General features: G+C 37.5%; 1 pseudogene; it reads right to left on the bottom strand.

Moving 5' to 3' along the window:
* LOC124902904 (liprin-beta-1-like) overlaps nt 1–21696 on the bottom strand; it is a 98657-nt pseudogene that overhangs the window by 53299 nt on the left and 23662 nt on the right.

Raw genomic sequence — 21696 nt, 5'->3', positions numbered from 1 at the left:
GTTCCATCTGCTGCTCTTCATACTGCATCTGACCCACCTTGATTTTCATGCTAGAAAGTTTGGCCACTAAAGACTGGCAGAGAGACAGAGGAGTGAAAGAAAACTACAGATAGAAAAAGACAAGCTAAATAACCGAGAAAACAGTATCAGTTTATAAAGGAGGTTAGATACAACTCAGAGAAAGGGCAGGTTATGTTCTGTCGGATGAGTTAAGCCTTGTTTTTAAATTCAGATCAGTGGTGTTTAAATTCAAGAAGGCTTCCAGCGTGGGGGGAACTTCATTTACTTTTAAAATACCTTCTTTATCATATACTAAGTAGAAAACATGTTATTTATATTATTAGGCATAGATGAATAGTGGAGCCATTTGTTTGAAAATGTTAACCTGTGAGAAAAACTTACTTTGGTTGATTCATGCTTTTTTTCATACTGAAGTCTCTCACTGCCCATTTCACTAACTTTTAACCTCAAATCATTGATCTCCTGAATCAGCCCCTGTCCAAGAAGAAACAAGAAAGTGCATTAGGAAAGTGGTAACACGGTTACCTATACCTATAAAATAGCAGCTTGGAAATCTTAAGTCACCAGCTCCTAGAGTTAAAGTTGAATGAATCAGATGAGATAAATGGAAATAAATCCACCTTCCTAACAACTAAAGCATTGGCTGGGCGCGGTGGCTCATGCCTGTAATCGCAGCACTTTGGGAGGCTGAGGTTGGTGAATCACTAGGTCAGGAGATCAAGACCATCCTGGCCAACATGGTGAAACCCCGTCTCTACTAAAATACAAAAAATTAGCCGGGCGTGGTGGCACACACCCGTAGTCCCAGCTATTCGGGAGGCTGAAGCAGGAGAATCGCTTGAACCTGGGAGGCAGAGGTTGCAGTGAGCCGAGATTGCGCCACTGCACTCCAGCCTGACAAAGGAGCAAGACTCTGTCAAAAAACAAACAAACAAACAAAAACATTCGTTTAAATCCCCAATGCGTCTGCCCTAAAGTGATGGGCTTATGAAAATAAAAGGTGACTGTAATTTTAAGAAAGGTAGCTTAATATCTATTATTTGTCAGATATTTCTATCCTAAAAATGACTCTATGAATGCTATTTCATAGAGTGCTATTTCTATTCTATTTTATAGAATGCTATTTCGTATTTTAAATATATCACATTCTTTAGTAAAGCCATTTACCTTTTGAAACTTCTCAGTGATACATGGGTATTTTTTTTAAATTTGTAATTTCTTCCTTTGTCCACAAAAATATGGATTGCTCATCAACTCAATATGGGAGAATGAAATGAAAATTAAATCCTTTAAGCCCATGAATCCTTAAGATTCATGAAATAGCCAGGGAAATATTTTATTTTTATTAAGTGAATGATAACAGGAACATGAGAATAGTCAAATCAGTTTTAATTTTGAGGACTATTTTAATTGTTGTCATATATAACATCACAAAGTTTCTCAACTATTCTCTAATTTTGGGGTATGTGCATACATTTTAGCAATACTGTTGAATTTTTATTAGGAGATTATCAGGGATTGAGTTTACTGTAATGACAATTTTCAACTGGAAAGTGGATGAGGGCCCTGCAGTTCATCTAATTTTATAATTCGAAAATGAAAGAGAAACCAATCCTAATGTTTACATGACACAACATGATTTTACATCTTTTCTACTACCATTTTTTATTTTATTTAGTGTCACTTTTTAAAGAACCAATTTGCTCATAAAACTTGTCCAAGTATTCTGAGAAATAATGGTGTATTTTTGTCCAGAGCCCAGAGAGTAGGAAAGGAAATTAAGAGTGTTAAGCAATATTAACTCCTCCAAAAGAGACACTCAAATACCCTGCGTGGGAGATGACTTATTTTTACTACAAGCCACAAAGATCCCTACAATGGTTACTATATTTTTGCTTCTCTCTCCCTCTTTTTTTTTTAAGATGGAGTCTTGCTCTGTCACCCAGGCTGGAGTGCAGTGCCGCCATCTGAGCTTACTGCAACCCCCGCCTCCCAGGTTCAAGATACTCTCCTGTCTCAGCCTTCACAGGAACTGGGATTACAGGCACCCACCACCACACCCAGCTAGTTTTTCTATTTTTAGTAGAGACAAGGGTTTCACCATGTTGACCAGGCTTGTCTTGAACTCCTGACCTCGAGTGACCCGCCCTCCTCGGACTCCCTAAGTGTTGGGATTACAGGTGTGAGCCACTGTGCCCAGCCAGCTTCTCTCTTTTTACAAAGACATGCATGTATTCCTGGGTCACAAATTCATAGATTACAGGACAAAATTATCCAAGAATGCCAAAAATTACAAGTAGAATAATGTTATAAGAAATAAAAGTTTGTGAATAGGGATTATTTTAAACTTCCAAATATAATGATTCAAGTTCACAAAGGCTAAGAGAAGGGATGCTATAATGAAATACACTTCCCAGTAAACCCACAGGCTTTTAAATTGTTGTCTCTTATAAAATGGGCAAAATATTACCTATCATAATTATACGATTACTCCTTAAGAGTCACTTAATAATCATACAATATTTCAATTAGATAATATATATTTTCTTCTTATGAATTAGGTCAAGAACTGTTTGACATTATTCAATAACATTTGTGATTCCTCATCTAACAGGTCAGAATTCAAGTTCAAAGAAAAAAAATCACCTTTTCCCAGTTAACTAATCATCCTTGCATAATATAAGTCCTTAGTCCTTAGTGATATTCATCAATATGATCTTTTTAAATATATATTTTCCCACTTTCTCATTGTTAAGAAATAGCAGTGAATTCCTCCTGTCTGCTATTGCTGTTTTTACTACTTCCTTTAGAAATAGTGGCAATGTGCAAAGAAGAAACAATTGAAAAAAATGGAATTATAAACTGGGATAAGTTATCTGTTTTAACAAAAACTACTCCACTATATTTCATGACAATACTTTAAATATGGTCTACATTTCCAACCCGAAATCATATCTTCCCCTGACAACACAAGCTGGAAAATCTGGAAATAGCTTTCTAATGTAAAACTTTAAAAAACAGAATACAAATTATTTCAATAAGTTCTTATCAGAAGTTCAGTCCTTTTAAGAAAGAAAATCCCTGTTCCCTTTCCCTTTTCCCTTTCAGAGAACTCCTCAGGGCTCCCGCAGGAACTCAGTCTCTGACATGTGTGCTCTTACCAGAAGGGGGCACTGTTGAATGATGCTGACCATCTCCCATTAGCAAGTACGGGGACAAGCCAAGTCCTGAATCTTCCAGTGCTCAGTCCCTTGGAAATGCCCATACTTCTTCCCCATGCCAATATTTTATTGGATATTAATATCCAAATAATCTAAACTTCTAAGAGAAAGTTAAATATTATGGACTCATGAAACACTCAGGAAAATATTTTTATTAAGGGAACGATAACAGGAACATGAGAATATTCAAGTTAGTTTAATAGTGAATGTTATTTTAATTATTTTCATATGCAACGTCACAAAGTTTACCCCATATGCTCTAATCTCTGGCTACATGTGTATATTTTAGCAATAGCACTGAATTTTTATTAGAAGATTATCAGGGATTGAGTGTACTGGAAGTTTAATAACAAAATCACTTTGTATGTGATTAAGAGTGTATGAGTGAAACGAAAAAGTGGGGAAAAAAAAGTTTGATAAAAAAGGCAGCTGAACTCAAGGGATGTAAATATTGCCCTGGGGTCTTACAAAAATAAATAAATAACACATCTACTGCAATTCAGTCCCAACATTTGGTTAGCATCTCATATCCAAATTAAGCTAACAACAGGTGAATATTTCCCCTTGACTTTGCAGACACAATGTAGAACACTACCTCTATCCATATCTACCATCAATTCTTCCCTGCAGCAGAGCTAGCTCCACTGCCATGTTGTCCATCTGTTGACTGAGTTTTACTGTTACCTTACCTAGCAACTATGGGGTAAGGACCTCACAAAAAGAGGGGAAAGAGAAAAATATCAAAAGAGATTTTTAGAGAAAATACAAAAGCAAGAATTTTAAACTGAGTAACTTTCTAAGTCTTGTTTAAGAGCCCCAGCTTCAATAAAATGAGAAACATGCTCACATAGGCAACTGACAAAGAGTTTTAAGATTAAAACATGGCTGGGCATGGTGACTCATGCCTATAATCCCAGTGCTTTGGGAGGCCAAAATGGGAGAATTGCTTGAGGCCAGGAGTTCCATACTAGCCTGGGCAACACAGTAAGATCCTATCTCTAAAAAAATTAAATAAAACATGAACCAAATGACAGATCTCCTTTTGCTACTGAGGAAGCAAGACATATACCAAGACTTTCCACTGTGATTGAATCTTTGACAGAAAATTTAATTTTGAAAATAGCAATGGAGTAAACCTTGTTATTTCCAGGTCTATAAAGGATTTTCCTGTAGTAGATAATGTATGTAATGCCCGGTACCATGCTGGCATATAGTCAGCATAAAATACATGTTTGAAATAAAAACAGAAGGGAAAAATAAATAAACCATTTTCTCTCCTCTCTCCTTGGTACCCATTTTCTAATCCAGCATGACACCTTTCCATACTCCAACCAAAGAAACAAAATAGAAAAAAGGAGGGGAGATGGCCCTCAGAGAGAGGAATTTCTGCAACTCTTTACACATCATTTCAAATGAGTAGATTTCAAACGGATATGCTCTCTCCATCCACCAAAAAAAAAAAAAAAAAAAAAAACAGAGAGGTTAAGAACTTGCCAAATGTCACACAGCAAACAAACTAGAAGGCCTGGATTAATAAAATAGAGAGAACAAACAATAAAGCTTGTTTAGCCACTAAAATGGATACTTCAAGTTATAGAATGTACCCTGAGTTTCGTAGAAGTACAGTGAGTCTTATTTAATTGGAATGATTTACATGTGGAATAGACCAAAAGTAGAAGGCCAAATTAGATGACCTCAAAAAGGCTCTGTTGTTTTGTGTTTATATAATGTAAGCATGCTTTCTATACAGATTTCAAAAATCCAATTACATAGTAAATAATCAGTGTGCTTAAATAATAACTACTAGCAAAACCATGCATTTAAGCCCATTATTTACAAAATTAAGAAAACTAGTATGAATGGATGGATGCTCCAAATATCCTAAAGTCAAAAGTATTTCTAAAGGTTGATAAAATGATTAATATTTCATATCAAAAGTCTAAAAATAAAAATTGTCATTAGCATTTTGTGATAAAAAGTCAATATAATCAAAGATTATTCTTAAAATGAAGTAGGATGAGGGCACGTAGTAATTAACCGCCTTCCTTGCACACCTCCAGAGAATTTCGACTTTGCCCTAGGAATGTACGTCTATGAGAGACAGAGTGACAGAGAGAGAGAGAGAGAGGAGAGACTGTGTCACACACCTCTGTGTCTCTGAACTTATCTTCATAATCCAATCTGTCCTTCTCTACAGCTGTCAGTTTCAACTTCAAGTTAGATATTTCAGCCATCAGATCCAACTTCTGAGTTTCTAAGGATGCCCTACTTAGAAGCTCCTATTGGAATTTAAAAGATACATTCAATAATTCTTTTATTATAAACAGCCACATGTGAATTTACCTCATTTATGATAGCACAAAGCAGCACCTATCAAGTAGAGGACGCATTAAAGTATAATTACTGAATATACATACTTTTTAAAAATTATTCACTTTAGGCCGTGCGCGGTGGCTCACGCCTGTAATCCCAGCACTTTGGGAGGCTGAGGCGGGCGGATCACTTAAGGTCAGGAGTTTGAGACAAGCCTGGACAGTATGATGAAACCTCATTTCTACTAAACATACAAAAATTAGCTAGTGTAGTGGCAGGTGCCTGTAGTCCCAGCTACTCGAGGGGCTGAGGCAGGAGAATTGCTTGAACCCAGGAGGCGGAGGTTACAGTGAGCCGAAATCACGCCACTGCACTCCAGCCTGGTCAACAAATGAGACTCCATCTCAAAAATAAGGTAAAACAAAATGAATAGACCAATAACAGGCTCTGAAATTGAGGCAATAATTAATAGCTTACCAACCAAAAAAACTCCAGGACCAGATGGATTCACAGCCGAATTCTACCAGAGGTACAAGGAGGAGCTGGTACCATTCCTTCTGAAACTATTCCAATCAATAGAAGAAGGGGGAATCCTCCCTAACTCATTTTATGAGGCCAGCATCATCCTGATACCAAAGCCTGGCAGAGACACAACAAAAAAAGAGAATTTTAGACCAATATCCCTGATGAACATCGATGCAAAAATCCTCAATAAAATACTGGCAAACCGAATCCAGCAGCACACCAAAAAGCTTATCCACCATGATCAAGTGGGCTTCATCCCTGGGATGCAAGGCTGGTTCAACATATGCAAATCAATAAACGTAATCCAGCATATAAACAGAATCAAAGACAAAAACCACATGATTATCTCAATAGATGCAGAAAAGGCCTTTGACAAAATTCAAAAACCCTTCATGCTAAAAACTCTCAATAAATTAGGTATTGATGGACATATCTCAAAATAATAAGAGCTATCTATGACAAACCCACAGCCAATATCATACTGAATGGGCAAAAACTGGAAGCATTCCCTTTGAAAACTGGCACAAGACAGGGATGCCCTCTCTCACCACTCCTATTCAACATACTGTTGGAAGTTCTGGCCAGGGCAATAAGGCAGGAGAAGGAAATAAAGGGTATTCAATTAGGAAAACGGGAAGTCAAATTGTCCCTGTTTGCAGATGACATGATTGTATATCTAGAAAACCCCATCGTCTCAGCCCAAAATCTCCTTAAGCTGATAGGCAACTTCAGCAACGTCTCAGGATACAAAATCAATGTGCAAAAATCACAAGCATTCTTATACACCAATAACAGACAAACAGAGAGCCAAATCATGAGTGAACTCCCATTCACAATTGCTTCAAAGAGAATAAAATACCTAGGAATCCAACTTACAAGGGATGTGAAGGACCTCTTCAAGGAGAACTAGAAACCACTGCTCAATGAAATAAAAGAGGATACAAACAAATGGAAGAACACTCCATGCTCATGGGTAGGAAGAATCAATATCATGAAAATGGCCATACTGCCCAAGGTAATTTACAGATTCAATGCCATCCCCATCAAGCTACCAATGACTTTCTTCACAGAATTGGAAAAAAACTAAAGTTCTTATGGAACCAAAAAAGAGCCCTCATTGCCAAGTCAATCCTAAGCCAAAAGAACAAAGCTGGAGGGATCACACTACCTGACTTCAAACTATACTACAAGGCTACAGTAACCAAAACAGCATGGTAACTGGTACCAAAACAGAGACATAGGTCAATGGAACAGAACAGAGCCCTCAGAAATAATGCCACATATCTACAACTCTCTGATCTTTGACAAAACTGACAAAAACAAGAAATGGGGAAAGGATTCCCTATTTAATAAATGGTGCTGGGAAAACTGGCTAGCCATATGTAGAAAGCTGAAACTGGATCCCTTCCTTACACCTTATATAAAAATTAATCCAAGATGGATTAAAGACTTAAATGTTAGACCTAAAACCATAAAAACCCTAGAAGAAAACCTAGGCATTACCATTCAGGACACAGGCATGGGCAAGGACTTCATGTCTAAAACACCAAAAGCAATGGCAACAAAAGCCAAAATTGACAAATGGGATCTAATTAAACTAAAGAGCTTCTGCACAGCAAAAGAAACTACCATCAGAGTGAACAGGCAACCTACAGAATGGGAAAAAATTTTTGCAATCTACTCATCTGACAAAGGGCTGATGTCCAGAATCTACAATGAACTCAGACAAATTTACAAGAAAAAAAACAACCCCATCAAAAAGTGGGCGAAGGATATGAACAGACACTTCTCAAAAGAAGACACTTATGCAGCCAAAAGACACATGGAAAAATGCTCATCATCACTGGCCATTAGAGAAATGCAAATCAAAACCACAATGAGATACCATCTCATACCAGTTAGAATGGCGATCATTAAAAAGTCAGGAAACAACAGGTGCTGGAGAGGATGTTGAGAAATAGGAACACTTTAACCCTGTTGGTGGGACTGTAAACTAGTTCAACCATTGTGGAAGTCAGTGTGGCGATTCCTCAGGGACCTAGAACTAGAAATACCATTTGACCCAGCCATCCCATTACTGGGTATATACCCAAAGGATTATAAAACATGCTGCTATAAAGACACATGCATGCGTATGTTTACTGCAGCACTATTGACAATAGCAGAGACTTGGAACCAACCCAAATGTCCAACAATAGGCTGGATTAAGAAAATGTGGCACATATACACCATGGAATACTATGCAGCCATAAAAAATGATGAGTTCATGTCCTTTGTAGGGACATGGATGAAGCTGGAAACCATCATTCTCAGCATACTATGGCAAGGACAAAAAACCAAACACCGCATGTTCTCACTCATAGGTGGGAATTGAATAATGAGAATACATGGACACAGGAAGGGGAACATCACACACTGGGCCTGTTGTGGGGTGAGGGGTGGGGGGAGGGATAGCATTAGGAGATATACCTAATGTTAAATGATGAGTTAATGGGTGCAGCACACCAACATGGCACATGTATACATATGTAACAAATCTGTATGTTGTGCACATATACCCTAAAACTTAAAGTATAATAAAAAATAAATAAATAAAAAATCATTCACTTTAGTTACTCTCCTTTGAGCAGAAATAAACACATGTCAGTTTACTTAGGGAGACATGTTATGTAGATACACATGCATAAACCATATATATATACTTCAGTCTGGTGATAACATTGATTATGATGATGATACTATGTTTGCTGTATGCCAGGCAACCGTTGTGACATACTGTTTCAATCCTCACAAAAATCTTATCAGTTAGAAATTCTTACTATCCTTAATCAAAAGATGAGGAAACTTAGTAATGGAGAGGTTAGGAACTTGCCTAATGTCATAGAGGGAAAAAAAAAAGGCACGGCAGGAATGGAAACCTACAAAGTTTTGCTCCAGTGCATACCCCATCCACAACCTTACGGAGCCTGTCCTTTGTGTTATAGATGGTGCTTATCTTTTTTCTGTTTTTTTCTTTTCTAATTTTTAATTTTGTGGGTACATAGTAGGTATATCTATTTATGGGGTACATGAGATGTTTCGATACAGGTATACAGTATGTGATAATCACATCATGGAAAACGGGGTCTCCATTTTCTCAAGCATTTATCCTTTGTGTTACAAACAATCCAGTTATATTCCTATTTTCAAATATACAATTAGATTATTATTAACTATAGTCACCCTGATGTGCTACTAAATACTAGGCCTTATTCAAACTATTATTTTGTACCCCTCCACCATCCTCCACCTCTTCCTTCATCCCTCACTACTCTGCCCAGCCTCTGGTAACCATCCTTCCACTATTTCCGTGAGCTCAATTGTTTTATTTTTAGATCCCACAAATGAGAACATGAGGTGTTTGTTTTTTTGTGCTTGGCTTATTTCACACATAATGACCTCCAGTTCCATTCATGTTGTTGCAAATAACTGAATCTCATGCTTTTTTATAGCTGAATAGTACTCCATTGTGTATAAGTACCACATTTTCTTTATCCAGTTATTTGTTGATGGACATTTAGGTTCCTTCCAAATCTTGGTGGCTGTGAACAGAGCTGCAGTAAACACGAGAGCACAGATATTTCTTCGATATACTGATTTCCTTTCCTTTGGGTATATATCCAGCAGTGGCATTGCTGGATCATATGGTAGCTCTATTTTCAGTTTTTTGAGGAACCTCCAAACTGTTCTCCAAAGTAGTTGTATGAATTTACATTCCCACCAACAGTGTACAAGGGTTCCCTTTTCTCCACATCCTTGCCAGCATTTGTTACTGCCTGTCTTTTGGATAAAAGCAATTTTAGCTGGGGTGAGATAGTATCTTGTTGTCGTTTTGATTTGCATTTCTCTGATGATCAATGATGCTGAGCACCTTTTCATATGTCTATTTGCCATTTGTATGTCTTCTTTTGAGAAATGTCTATTCAAATCTTTCGCCCATTTTTAAATCGGATTCTTAGATTTTTTACTATTATCTTTTTTTCTTAATCACAAAACATATGCTTATAGGTGAGAGTTAGGAAACCATCTGAATGCAAAGAAAGAAAATAAAAATAAGCCACAATCCTATTGACATTTTGTTCCAGATTCTAATTACATAAACACTTTATATTGTGTGCATGTGTTTTGAGACTCTACTACTCTCAATTTTTTTTTTTAAATGTGCTGGTCTAAGTGAATCAAGAAACTTACTGCTGCATCAGAGCAAACACAACATAGAAATGCAGCATCTCAAATAGTTCAGCAGGGAAATCCCATCTTGGATATGGCGTCTGCACATACCTGCTGCAGCATTTCTTCTGTGGCATTCACCTTCTCTCTGTGCTCTTCAAGACAAAACTCCAAATCTCTAATCTTCTCTCCCTCATCCTCCACCTGGTCTGTTAACATGCTTAGCTGTATTTAGAATAAAATACTGCAATGAGTGAAAAAGAATTTGGGTCCAACTGCATACATTATTTCTCTAAATGGAACAAAAAAAGGAATAATCCTACCACTCATACGATTGTAAAGAAAAAAAAATCTGAGAAGTACCAAGAAGACAGTGGTCCCTCGCATTCCTATTTATATGTTGCTTTTTGATTTAGGGAGTCCTATACAATTTTGGAGAAAATTTGTGTAGACTAGTAATGTACAATACTTTTTGGTTAAAGCCATTTCAACCATTTATGAGAGAGAGTGTGCACATCTTTTTTGCGGGCAGGGTGGAGATAGTATTAGAAGAGAGGAAAGGAAGTTAATGTTTCAAATAGAAATTACCAAGAGCTATTCAAATTCGATACTTCAAGAAGAATAAGGAAAAGAACTCAAGGAATTCAAGTTCCATGAGCTCTTTGAAGATGACTTTATATTTATGACTTTAAACTGATCACAGATGCGTTCAAAGCCAGGGAGCAACTCAATATACTCAAAGGTGCATGAGGAGCTCTTGGGCTAGTCTTTCAATTCTAGTGCTTATAGCAGATCTTTGAGTTTTTCCTCCATAATCATCACCCAGTAAATATGCTTCAATTCATTTTGCTCAATATACCAAAGAAAAATGTTTGTGAAGCATTTAAAACATCATGAAGAAGCAAACTCAAATTTAGCCCACAAGGAGGGTTCTAGTCACTGTTTTGTTTTGTCTCACACAGGGTATCATTTTTAAAACTGAAAAATTAAATATATTTACTCAGATTTCAGATTTAGAAATATAAACTTACATATATGCAGATTTTATGCTATATTCATATGTCTAAATTTCTGATATATATTAAAATATATTTTAAAGTCAGATCCAGCCAAGTGTAGTGCTACACGCCTGTAATCCCAGTTACTTAGGTGACTGAGGTAGGAAGATTGCTTGAGCCTAGGAGTTCAAGACTAGCCTGGGCAATGTAAGAAGACCTCGCCTCCAAAAAAAAAAAAAATAGATCAGATCAGATGGCACGTGAGATCAGATGACATTGCATCTGTATTCAGACTGGTCCCAGAAGAGCTGGGGTTGATTAATGGCAGCTCCTTCTAAACTGGGTGTACAAACCATCATTTTGCCCCAGTCCTCACTACTCCCTATTGGTTACAGATGGCTTACCATGCTTATTTCTATTAGCAGTCTGGTTGCTAATAGAACTGGTTTCTATTAGCAGTCTGGTTGCTAATAGAACTGGTTTCTATTAGCAGGCAGGTTGCAAGCAATCTGAATTTGTCACCCTAATTTAAAACACTCTTTGTATGCAGCAAGGAAAGAATAATATTTAAAAATCACTTGCCTGAAGAAGGAGGGATTCTTTATCATTTTCTAAAAGTGACAGCCTTTCTTGATACACATCTCCGTTCCCAGGTAGGTGTCCATTTGTCTGAAAAAGGAAATAATATGGGTAAGGCTGATCTTCTCTAAGAATGATATATTGTAGATAAATGAAAATCACAAGTGTCCTTAGTCCAAGGGGCCTGAATTGAATCTGCACAGCTGTCACTGTCAAACAGAAAATACAAGAATGCAATTTGGTTCATTTACCACAAAAGAAGTAAGACAGGCATGTTAAGCATATAAGCATGTTTTTGCCAAACTAAACATTTATTAACAAGCAGAAAATAATGACCCACAAGGAACAGTGGCTACTTGTATTCTTCACTGAGAGCAGACACACACCTGGGGCAGGCAAAGCTTTGTGAGTGTGTAGGGGGCCCCCCAAGCTGTTGAGGTCTGTCTCTCTTCCTCCAAAAGCTTAAACACTCAGGCCACAGTGACTTCCCCTGGTAGTGCAGACTAGCCTCACTTATCTGCCTTTTAACACTTTCTGTCCTGATCTTATTAACTTCTTATGAGTTTGCTTGTTCATATAATGTTACCTTCTATTCCAGGGCAGAGCCTATAAATTGTTTTGTAATCTCCCCAGCATCTGGATCAGTGCTCTGTATATATTGATGCTTACTATTTCTTCCCCTCCCTCATGCCCCACACCCTTTTTTTAAAAAAAAAATCATATTTGGGCATATTTATGCATGGTATAAATGCCAAAGGAAGTATAGACTGATTGTTTCTTCCTCAGCTGTCTCATATGCAAGTCATGAAAGAGACACATGAAGAGGCTCACAAAGAACAGAAAACCTAAAAACATCATTTTGAAATATATGCAGTAGTGTAGGTGGTATCTCTCATAATCTCAACATAACCATAAAATATGTAATCCCAATAGAATTTCCTGATTCTTCATTCAAATACAATAGAAATAAAAGCCAGTTGAAATCCAAAAGTGTTAGATAGGGCCACCCAGGGTTCAATTGAAAAAGAAAATAATACCTTCAAATTTAGAACCAGAAAAAAACAGGCATCTGTTTTTAAAATCCCATACAAGTAATAATATTTTAGAAACAGACACATTTCAGTAAGTAGGAAAAAAAAAACTGCTGTTCAGTGAGGACAAAAAGCAAAATTGGCCAAGCGTGGTGGTGCACGCCTGTAATTCCAGCACTTTGGGAGGCTGAGGATTGCTTGAGCCCAGAAGTTCGGGACCAGCATAGGCAACATGGTGAGACCCTGTCACTAAAATAAATAAATAAATAAATAAATAAATAAATAAATAAAAAACAGCCAAGCATGTGCAGTGACCCGAGATCGCGCCACTTCACTCCAGCCTGGGCGACAGAGTGAGACTCCATCTAAAACAAACAAACAAACAAACAAACAAAAAAAACCAAAAAACCGCCAAGCATCGTGGTGTGCGCCTGTGGTCCTAGTTACTCTGGAGACTGAGGGAGGAGGATCACTTGAGCCCAGGAGGTGGAGGCTACAGTAAGCCATGTTTGCGCCACTGCACTCCAGGTTGGGCAACAAAGCAAGAACTTATCTTAAGAAAAACAAAACAAAACAAAACTGATCTTTCTTCTGGTTGGAGGAAATTATAGCAAGAGGAGAGCAGTGTTTCCTCCCAAGCTACTTTGTATGATATGGAAGTGAGGTGTTCCAAAACCAGTTCTCCAAAATTAGCCCCAAATAGAAACAGATACTGAAAATTGGCTCAAAATTAGCATATTTATTTTTCTCAGTACTGTATTGATATTTACAAGCACTCATAATGCTCAAGGGTAGTTTAGTATATTAAAAGTCACTATAGGAACATAAGGCAGAATTTAAGAGTGATCAATGTTATATCCTTGTGTTAACTTAAGTAGGTAAAGACTGTTCTGTCCACCTGTGTTTATATTTCTGCCAATTTTGTTTCCTTTGCATTAAGAATGTTGGCAGTAAGATCCATTAGGTAAATACCCTATTGTCTCTATTCTTCCTTCAACTCCCACGTTCTACCTACCAGGTCACTCAAAACCTCCCCATATATGGCATGCTCTTTCACACACTACTTTTATTCCTTCTGCACGGACCGTCTTTTCCCACCCTTTCTTCTTCTTTCCCCATTCCTTAAGGTCCACCTCTATCAGGGCTTGGTCTGTGAAGTCTTCCTTGAACTCACTGTTTGCTATATGCCAGCGACAGTATCTACATGAACCTTCATTACAGCAGGCATTACTCTGAATGCACTAAGGTTAGACTTGACTGCATACATGTCTCTCTCTTCTAATAGACTCTGCATTCTTTGCAAGTAGATTTGCCTTGGCATGTGACATACAGTGGGCGATAACTAAATGTCTGTTGAATGGAAGAATGACGATAGGTGTTCAATAAACACTAGTTGAATACAAGATGACTGCAGGTTTGGTTTTGATCTGCCCTTCTTGCTTCTCAGTGGGTCTTTATTTATGTGTCCTCTATAATCTGGTATGCACGCCATGGTTGACCTCTATCTAGACTGGCTCCTTTTTCCTCCTGTACTCTCTCTTCCCACTATGTTTAGGAGGTGATCTCAGAGCCTTTGTCAGCACCACGCTCTAACCAACCGAGCTAACCGACCGCCTGATCTCAGAGCCTTTGTAATGGACAATAGTTAAGGCCATCTCGTGTGAGCTCCCTTAGACACTTTCTTCCTCAGTGCGTAATAGTATAATATATATTACCTCTTATTTCTTTCCTTTCTTTGGTCCTGCAGGCTTGGGAGAACTGATTCTTAACTCCTTCCTGAAAGCTCATCATTCCACTTCTACTTTGGAACCTTGATTTCCTGTTTTGCTGGGACCTGTAATCACCACTTCTACTTATCATTTTCCATTTCTTCCTTTTAATGAGCTTTCTTCCACTTTCCTTTACAACAACTATCCCAAGGTTTTGTACCCAACACTCCACTCACCTCCCACTCCTCCCTCTCAGATCAATCCGTCTTTCATAACCCATTTCTACCTCCTCCTCTTTACATGGTGCCATTCTCCTTTCCCCATCTACGGGCTGACCTTCTGGGTCTTGTCTTAAACTGTGTTCTTTAGTGTTTCCATCATATTCTGCCTCAGGTAGATGACTAATAATTTTATGTGAGTTGGTCACTCAGCCTAAGTTTCTCAGTGCAAAACTGTCTTACGTTTCTTTTGATTCTTCCATGGTGCTTATAAAATCCTGAGCATGTAATTTAAAATGTATTTAAGTATAAACTCTTGTTGAGTCAATCTGACTTTCAAAGCATGGAAGAGCAGCCAAAGTCACTTTACCTATCTACTTTAGCTCATGGTGCGACCTTTTATTGACCACATTCAATTCAGCTAAGTCGAAATTGGAATCAACGTGGGGATTTCAACAGTACAGTATCCAACCAATAGTGTGTATGCAGAATCAGGGAGGGAGATCTAACTCAACTATAACATTGGTACTTTGATTTAATTAAGGAACTTATGGCCTCTGCCAGGTTTTCCTGGCATGATAGGGAGAAGCACATCTAAAAAGCTTTATCTGTCATAGAATTACAGAATCTTAGAGCTAGCCAGGAACCTCACCTGGAAAATGAATTCCCTGATTCTACATGGCAGGTGCTACACATAACATCAGAATACCATCTGCTTTTCCCTTCACCATCTAAGTGGAAAGCCTTATTTTTATATCAACTTCCTTTTAATTATCAAGTATTACAATCAAGCATAAAGATGTAATAAATGTTAACATCTTTCCTTTGTGTATGTTTTAAAAGTTTTTTATTACAGAAAATTTCAAATAGATTTAAAGTAGAGAAATGAGCACAATGAAACCCCATGTACACGCCACTCCATTTCAATAGTTATTAATTTACGGAAGGTAGGAGTCTCACCTGCTGCTTTTACTTATAACATCATGCTGTGTTTTCCTTTGATTTTCTGGGTTCTATTGGTTTGCATTGGTCTACAGTTGTCTTTCCTGTTTCCCCTTTGTTTCGCTTTGTTCTTTCCTGAGCTCTGCTGTCCTGTCTAAATCCAAAATCAACATACAAGCAATGATTTGCCACTATCATGCTTATTTATTTTATAAAACAGAAGGTAATTTTGAGTGCAAGATTCCCAATTCAGAATGGTAAGTACCTAAATTAAAATGGGGAAAAGAAAACAGCCCTCTTTTTAAGGACAACAAAAATTAAAACATAGCTGGATTAGTAATACTACATATACACAAATACATGCACACATCACATTCCAGCCAGTCATTATTATACTTATTTTTAAAACTAGTTATTAAAAGTATCACACAGTTTTGATTTCATAATCCTGTTTTTAAACATTCAGTATCAAGAAAGGAAAAGTAAGGCTCAGTCCACGAAATCTCCTTTAAGTAAGCATTATCTCTAGTTACCAAAAGAAATAATTACTATGACAGCATTTTGTACTCAGAATTATACCTCTGCCACGCATGCAAACATTTCCTGCATGCCTGCTCTCCACTAGACTCTAAACTATGAGGAGAGATTGAGATAAGACTTGAATCCTTCAGCCATGAAGAGCACAGTCATATTGCATTTGAGTTCAATACCATAATAAGGCATCTTACACCACTACCGTCCGAAGAGTAAAAGAACTTGACATCAGTGATGCTGGAAACCAAGCAACCAGGCAGTGGCAGTACTCCGCTCCCCTGTCCTCTCACTGGGTGTGGTGGAATGAGGGCATGAGCTTCGCAGTGGGCAAGCGGGGAGTACATGTTTAGACTATAATATTACCCTAGTCATAGGTACACACCTAAGTCCCCTGAATTTGGGGAGGACAGAGAAAAAAGAAGGTCCCAGTGTCCCTAGAAGCGAAGCCCCAGCTCCTATCCCAGTACAGCAGCAACTTCATTCACTCAATATCTTCATTCACTCATTTATTCAACATTTGTTGAAAGCCAGCAATGTGTGACAGGATACAAAGATCTAGAGAAGGAATCTGTCTTCTACTTTGGGAAGGATAACATGAGACCAAGAAAAAGTCCCTATTGTTCTTGTCACTTTTTCTTTCTTAACTCACTTTCCTAAAGGAACAGGGAAACCTCTTTCCATTCAATCCTAACAAATACCAGTGGCCTAGGATTCCATGAAAAGCTCATCTTTTACCTCTGTAAACTAAGAATTCTGCCGATTTGGTCAATTTGTTTTTCTGTGTCTGTGAATATTTTCCATGGGAGTTTACTTGAAGACTAAGGGGAAAACTGCCTTAATTTTAGCTAGGATGTCTCAGTGAGGCACTGCATAATTCAAGATAATTGTGATCACATACTGGATACAATCTTAAGATGTACCTGGTTTGCCAAGGCCTGAGAAAATATTTCCTGGAGGCACAGATGAAAAGCAAAGCTGGTCAGAAAGCAGCAGGGATCGGAGGGTGGTAGGACGGGGACTGCTTCATGGGACTGGGAGTCGGGGACGCAGGGAGAACAGCCAGCACCCCTGCAGAGAGCATGTCCCGTGGCTGAACTCTTTTAAGTTATGAGTATTTTTATTTTTATGGTAACTTTTAAAAATATACATTTGGGATTAATATTATCTAACTTTTAATGTAAAAATAAGAGAGAAGTATATTATGATGATTTAACAGGTCAGAAGCCAGTCCAGAACATCTCATTTCCCCTGTTTACACTCTATCTATCTCATAGGTGATGATGCCTGCTTTGGCGTTACTACCATTAGTATTCACCATTAGTATTTCACTCACTTTTTTGAAAATTGTATTCTTGTAATTTCTGCTGACTTTGAGATGGCCTCATAATTAAAACTGCCAAATAGTCAGACACTTTCGGGATTTCACTACCTGATCCCCTGCTGACATGGATCAAGGTCATGATCCTCAGTTAAAAAAAATTATAAGAATGTTCTAGGGCAACTCATCAAGTTAGACCTAAAGTAAATAACTACTTGCTTAACTCAAACAATTAGACATATTTTTACATTTGCCTTCTTACATCTAGAGCTTCATAAAGCAAATAATTCTCCATTTTTAATATCTGTGTTCACACATTATAATATCTCACAATCAAAACAGAAAATTCAGCCTCAGTAATTAAACAAATATGTCATAGTCTACAGTTTTTTTTAACCACAGGAGACACACTTCTGAATTTTAAAAGAAATTTGTTCATTTCCAGAAGCCTAGAGCTACACTAATAAATTCATTCTTATAGATTTAATGTCCCTTCACTGTAACAGGCTACTAGTGTTGGTATTTTATCTCATTCAGTGTCTGATCATATGAAACAAACAGGCAGGAGCAATTAGTAGTAAAGAAATAACCTGCATCCTAGAAGAAACCAGGGGATCTCCCCGGCCCAGGCAAAATGATAATTTGAACTGCAAATGCCCAGTTGCACTAATGAAAAGGTTAGTATCCATCTTAAAGTACAGGGCCTCTCAAGTTGGCCATCATTAAACATGAATGGAACCATAATTATATATCTGTTATTATTAACAGATACATAATTATTTCCAAAAATTTTTGAATTTAAGTTTTTCTAAAATATTCCAGAAGCTTCTCTTCAGTCTGAGAAACGTTTGCACTCTTTTGTCACAAGAAGTGAACTATGTATGGGTAGTTTGTAACTTTATTCCCCTTGTAACTGGACCTAATTCTCTTTCCCTCATTGCAAAGGGATGCTGTTAAACATTTTCCCTCTATTCTCTACACTCTACTCTTCAGTATTACCTCTCTGACTAGCCTTTTTTCCAGGTGTATTCATAAGCCCTCAGCATACATTAGTTCATAGGATCCTTACAATACTAAGTGGCAGTAACAATCATCCCCATTTTACAGATGAGAAAACCAAGACACAGAGCTTCAGACATTTTCACAAGGTCATACAAGCTTTGAAGAGTTAGGGCCAACGTTAAAATTCAGGTCTGCTGTCACTACAGCCTGCATTTGAAACTGCATAGATATAATCCTGCCTTATCATTCACTGCTTTCTTTTTTAAAACATCATAATCTCTTTTATTTGGGCAGTTTTCCCATGTTCAATATGAAGGGGGAATTTGCTAGGATTCTGTGTTCCTTAAATTCTAAGACGCCATCAACTTTAATTTTTTATTGTGGTAAAATATATATGTAAAATTAACCATCTTAACCATTTTAAAGTGTATAGTTCAGTGGTAGTAAGCACATTTACATTGTTTTGCAGCCATCACCATCGTCCATGTAAATAACTCTTTTCATCTTGCAAAACTGAAATTCTATGCACAATAAGTATTATCTTCCCATTCCCTGCTCCCCTCAGCTCCTGGCAGCTACCAATCTATTTTCTGTCTCTAAAATTTGACTATTCTAAGTATCTTATTAATAAAAAAAGGAAAGAAGGGAGAGAGGAAGGGAGGATGGATCTGAGCTAAAATGTATACACATCCCCATTTTAAGATCATAAAACACAGCCCAACTTCTGAAATATTAAATTGGAAAAATCTAATATTATCAGCAAATCACTAAATTATAAGCATATAATCTTCTACTTGTTGGATTCCCAATGCTGGCCCAAATTCCTTTTTGGTTCTAAAATAAAGTCTATCGTGGTAGGTGTGTGGTGACAACTCAATTTCACACCTATGCTTTTATGGTTCCAAACAGCCAGTCCTGCTCTTTTTGCCTTTTGCTGTTTTTCTTCTTTCATCCTGTCATTCTCTGTGTGCTTGAGAAAACACACTTAATTTGGAAGGTTGGGGTCAAGGTGAGGAATTCATATAGATAAGTTAGATAGATATAAATAAATTTAGCAACAGCAACAAAAGTCCCTTATCTCTCTGGATCTACATCTAGTTTATTTTGTTATTGTTACTTTTAGGATAAAAACCGAATCTTCATTAGTTCTGTAAAATATCTGTCATTTTGTGGATTCTCAAAGTTAAAATGTCAAATAGTAAGAGAGAAAGCAACTGAAAACACAGATCAACAAGCCATTACCCATCCAAGGAATAAATTTAAAACAACTTCCATTCATTCAAACATGCAATCCACTTTATCATTCATGGAGCATCATTCATTACAAATATAACTACTGAGCCAGGCATTCTTCTAAACACCAGGGATACAGTAAATTTTTAAAAATAATGGCAAAAATTGGATTCATGATGCTTACATTCCAGTTGAAAAGACAGAAAATAAATGATATAAACATTACAAATACATTGCACATAAGAAAGTGGTGAATGCTAAGAACAAAATAAAGCAGGGAGATGTAAGACAAAGAATAAATGGGTATAATTTTAGTTAGGGTGGTGATACAAGGCCTAACTGAGATCACAACTTTTGAGTAAATACCAGAAGAATGTGAGGGAGCTAGCCATGCAAATATCTAGGGACAGAGCTTTCCAGGCAGAGTGAAAAGCCAGTGCCTGGAAAAGCCAGTGCAAAGGCTCTGAGGCCAGTGTACCTGGCATGTTTAAGAATCAGTGAAAAAGCCACTGTGCTTGGCGTGGAGCGAATAAGGAGATGTGTGACAAGAGATGAAGTCAGAAAGTCATGGGGAGCAAATCCTACGAGGCCTTGCAGCCCACAGTAAGCACTGTGGTTTTTACTCTGAGTAAGATGTGATGCCATTGGTAGTTTCTGAAAAAAGGAGTGAGTGTCATGATCTAACTTATATTCAGATGTAACCATCATTACTTTTTATCATTTCTGAAAATACTTTCACAGAACAGATTAAGCACATGTTAATGGACATGTTTTAGACACATGTCAAAAGCTGAACTACAGGTACGCTTCGGCTACTATTGCCATTGGTGGCCTCTGGGTGTGGGATAGAAATACGTTCTTCTAACAATAGTAAATTCCTTTTTCACTGCATGCTAAATGGTCAGAAGAACATGGAGTAAAGAAGGGGTGAGATAGGACATTGAAATAGACTAAGGAATATGTCAGGAAACACCAAGTACAGAGCATGAAGCAATCCCTAAAGAAATCAGCAAACCTGGACCCTTAAGTCTCTGGAGGAGAAATCTGTAGAGCAAATAGAAAGTATAATAGTAAGGCATTATGTGTTTTAACAAGTAAAATAACTCCAGTTTGTATAGCTGCACCCCCACTAAAGGATAGATTGTACTATTCGCTCTCAGAAACGCAGAGGTAAACCAGGTGGGAACACAGAGTATTCAGCACAGGACTGGCTGGGAGCTCTAATATTTGTGTCACATCATATGAAAATGTTTTAGCTGTAGGATGTACTCTTAAGGTTCCCAAAGCAAGCAGTTTTCATGTCTACCACAGATCCAAAAGTAGATCACAATTCTTTCATACGATTCTCATTAGTTTTGATATAAACACAGTTAACTCATAAGCATATGAGTGCATCTTACTGAAAATTGAATATCCTTTAGGCACAAAATATCTCCTTTCCTCTGTCCTCCACTGAATCTGTTTTTGTGACACTATTTAGATTTTATGTGTCCATCACAGATTAAAAGCATGGTATTTACCACTGTATCGAGACAAAGGGTAGCTCTGCCACATCATCAATTTTTGAGAAGGATGCCTAGAAAGAGGCCTCGTTGTTTAGTGAGTAACACCATTAACCCATTTATGCTGGAGGTTGCTAATTTTTTTGTGAAAAATCAGAACTGGGCGATGACATTGAGCAGTAGGATATAAATAACTCCCACAAGCTTAGCGTTCCAATAATGGAACACTACGCATAAATGGGTTAAAGGCCCAATTCCCCAATTTAATTCAAGAACTGGAACTGAAATGATTGAAATAAACCACCAGATGGCACTTCAGGTCAAATACTTAACCCCTGTGG

The sequence above is a fragment of the Homo sapiens genome, chromosome 12 (assembly GCF_000001405.40).
Source record: "Homo sapiens chromosome 12, GRCh38.p14 Primary Assembly".
In the NCBI taxonomy this organism is placed as follows: Eukaryota; Metazoa; Chordata; class Mammalia; order Primates; family Hominidae; genus Homo; species Homo sapiens.
This window is presented reverse-complemented; position numbering and strand designations above follow the sequence as displayed.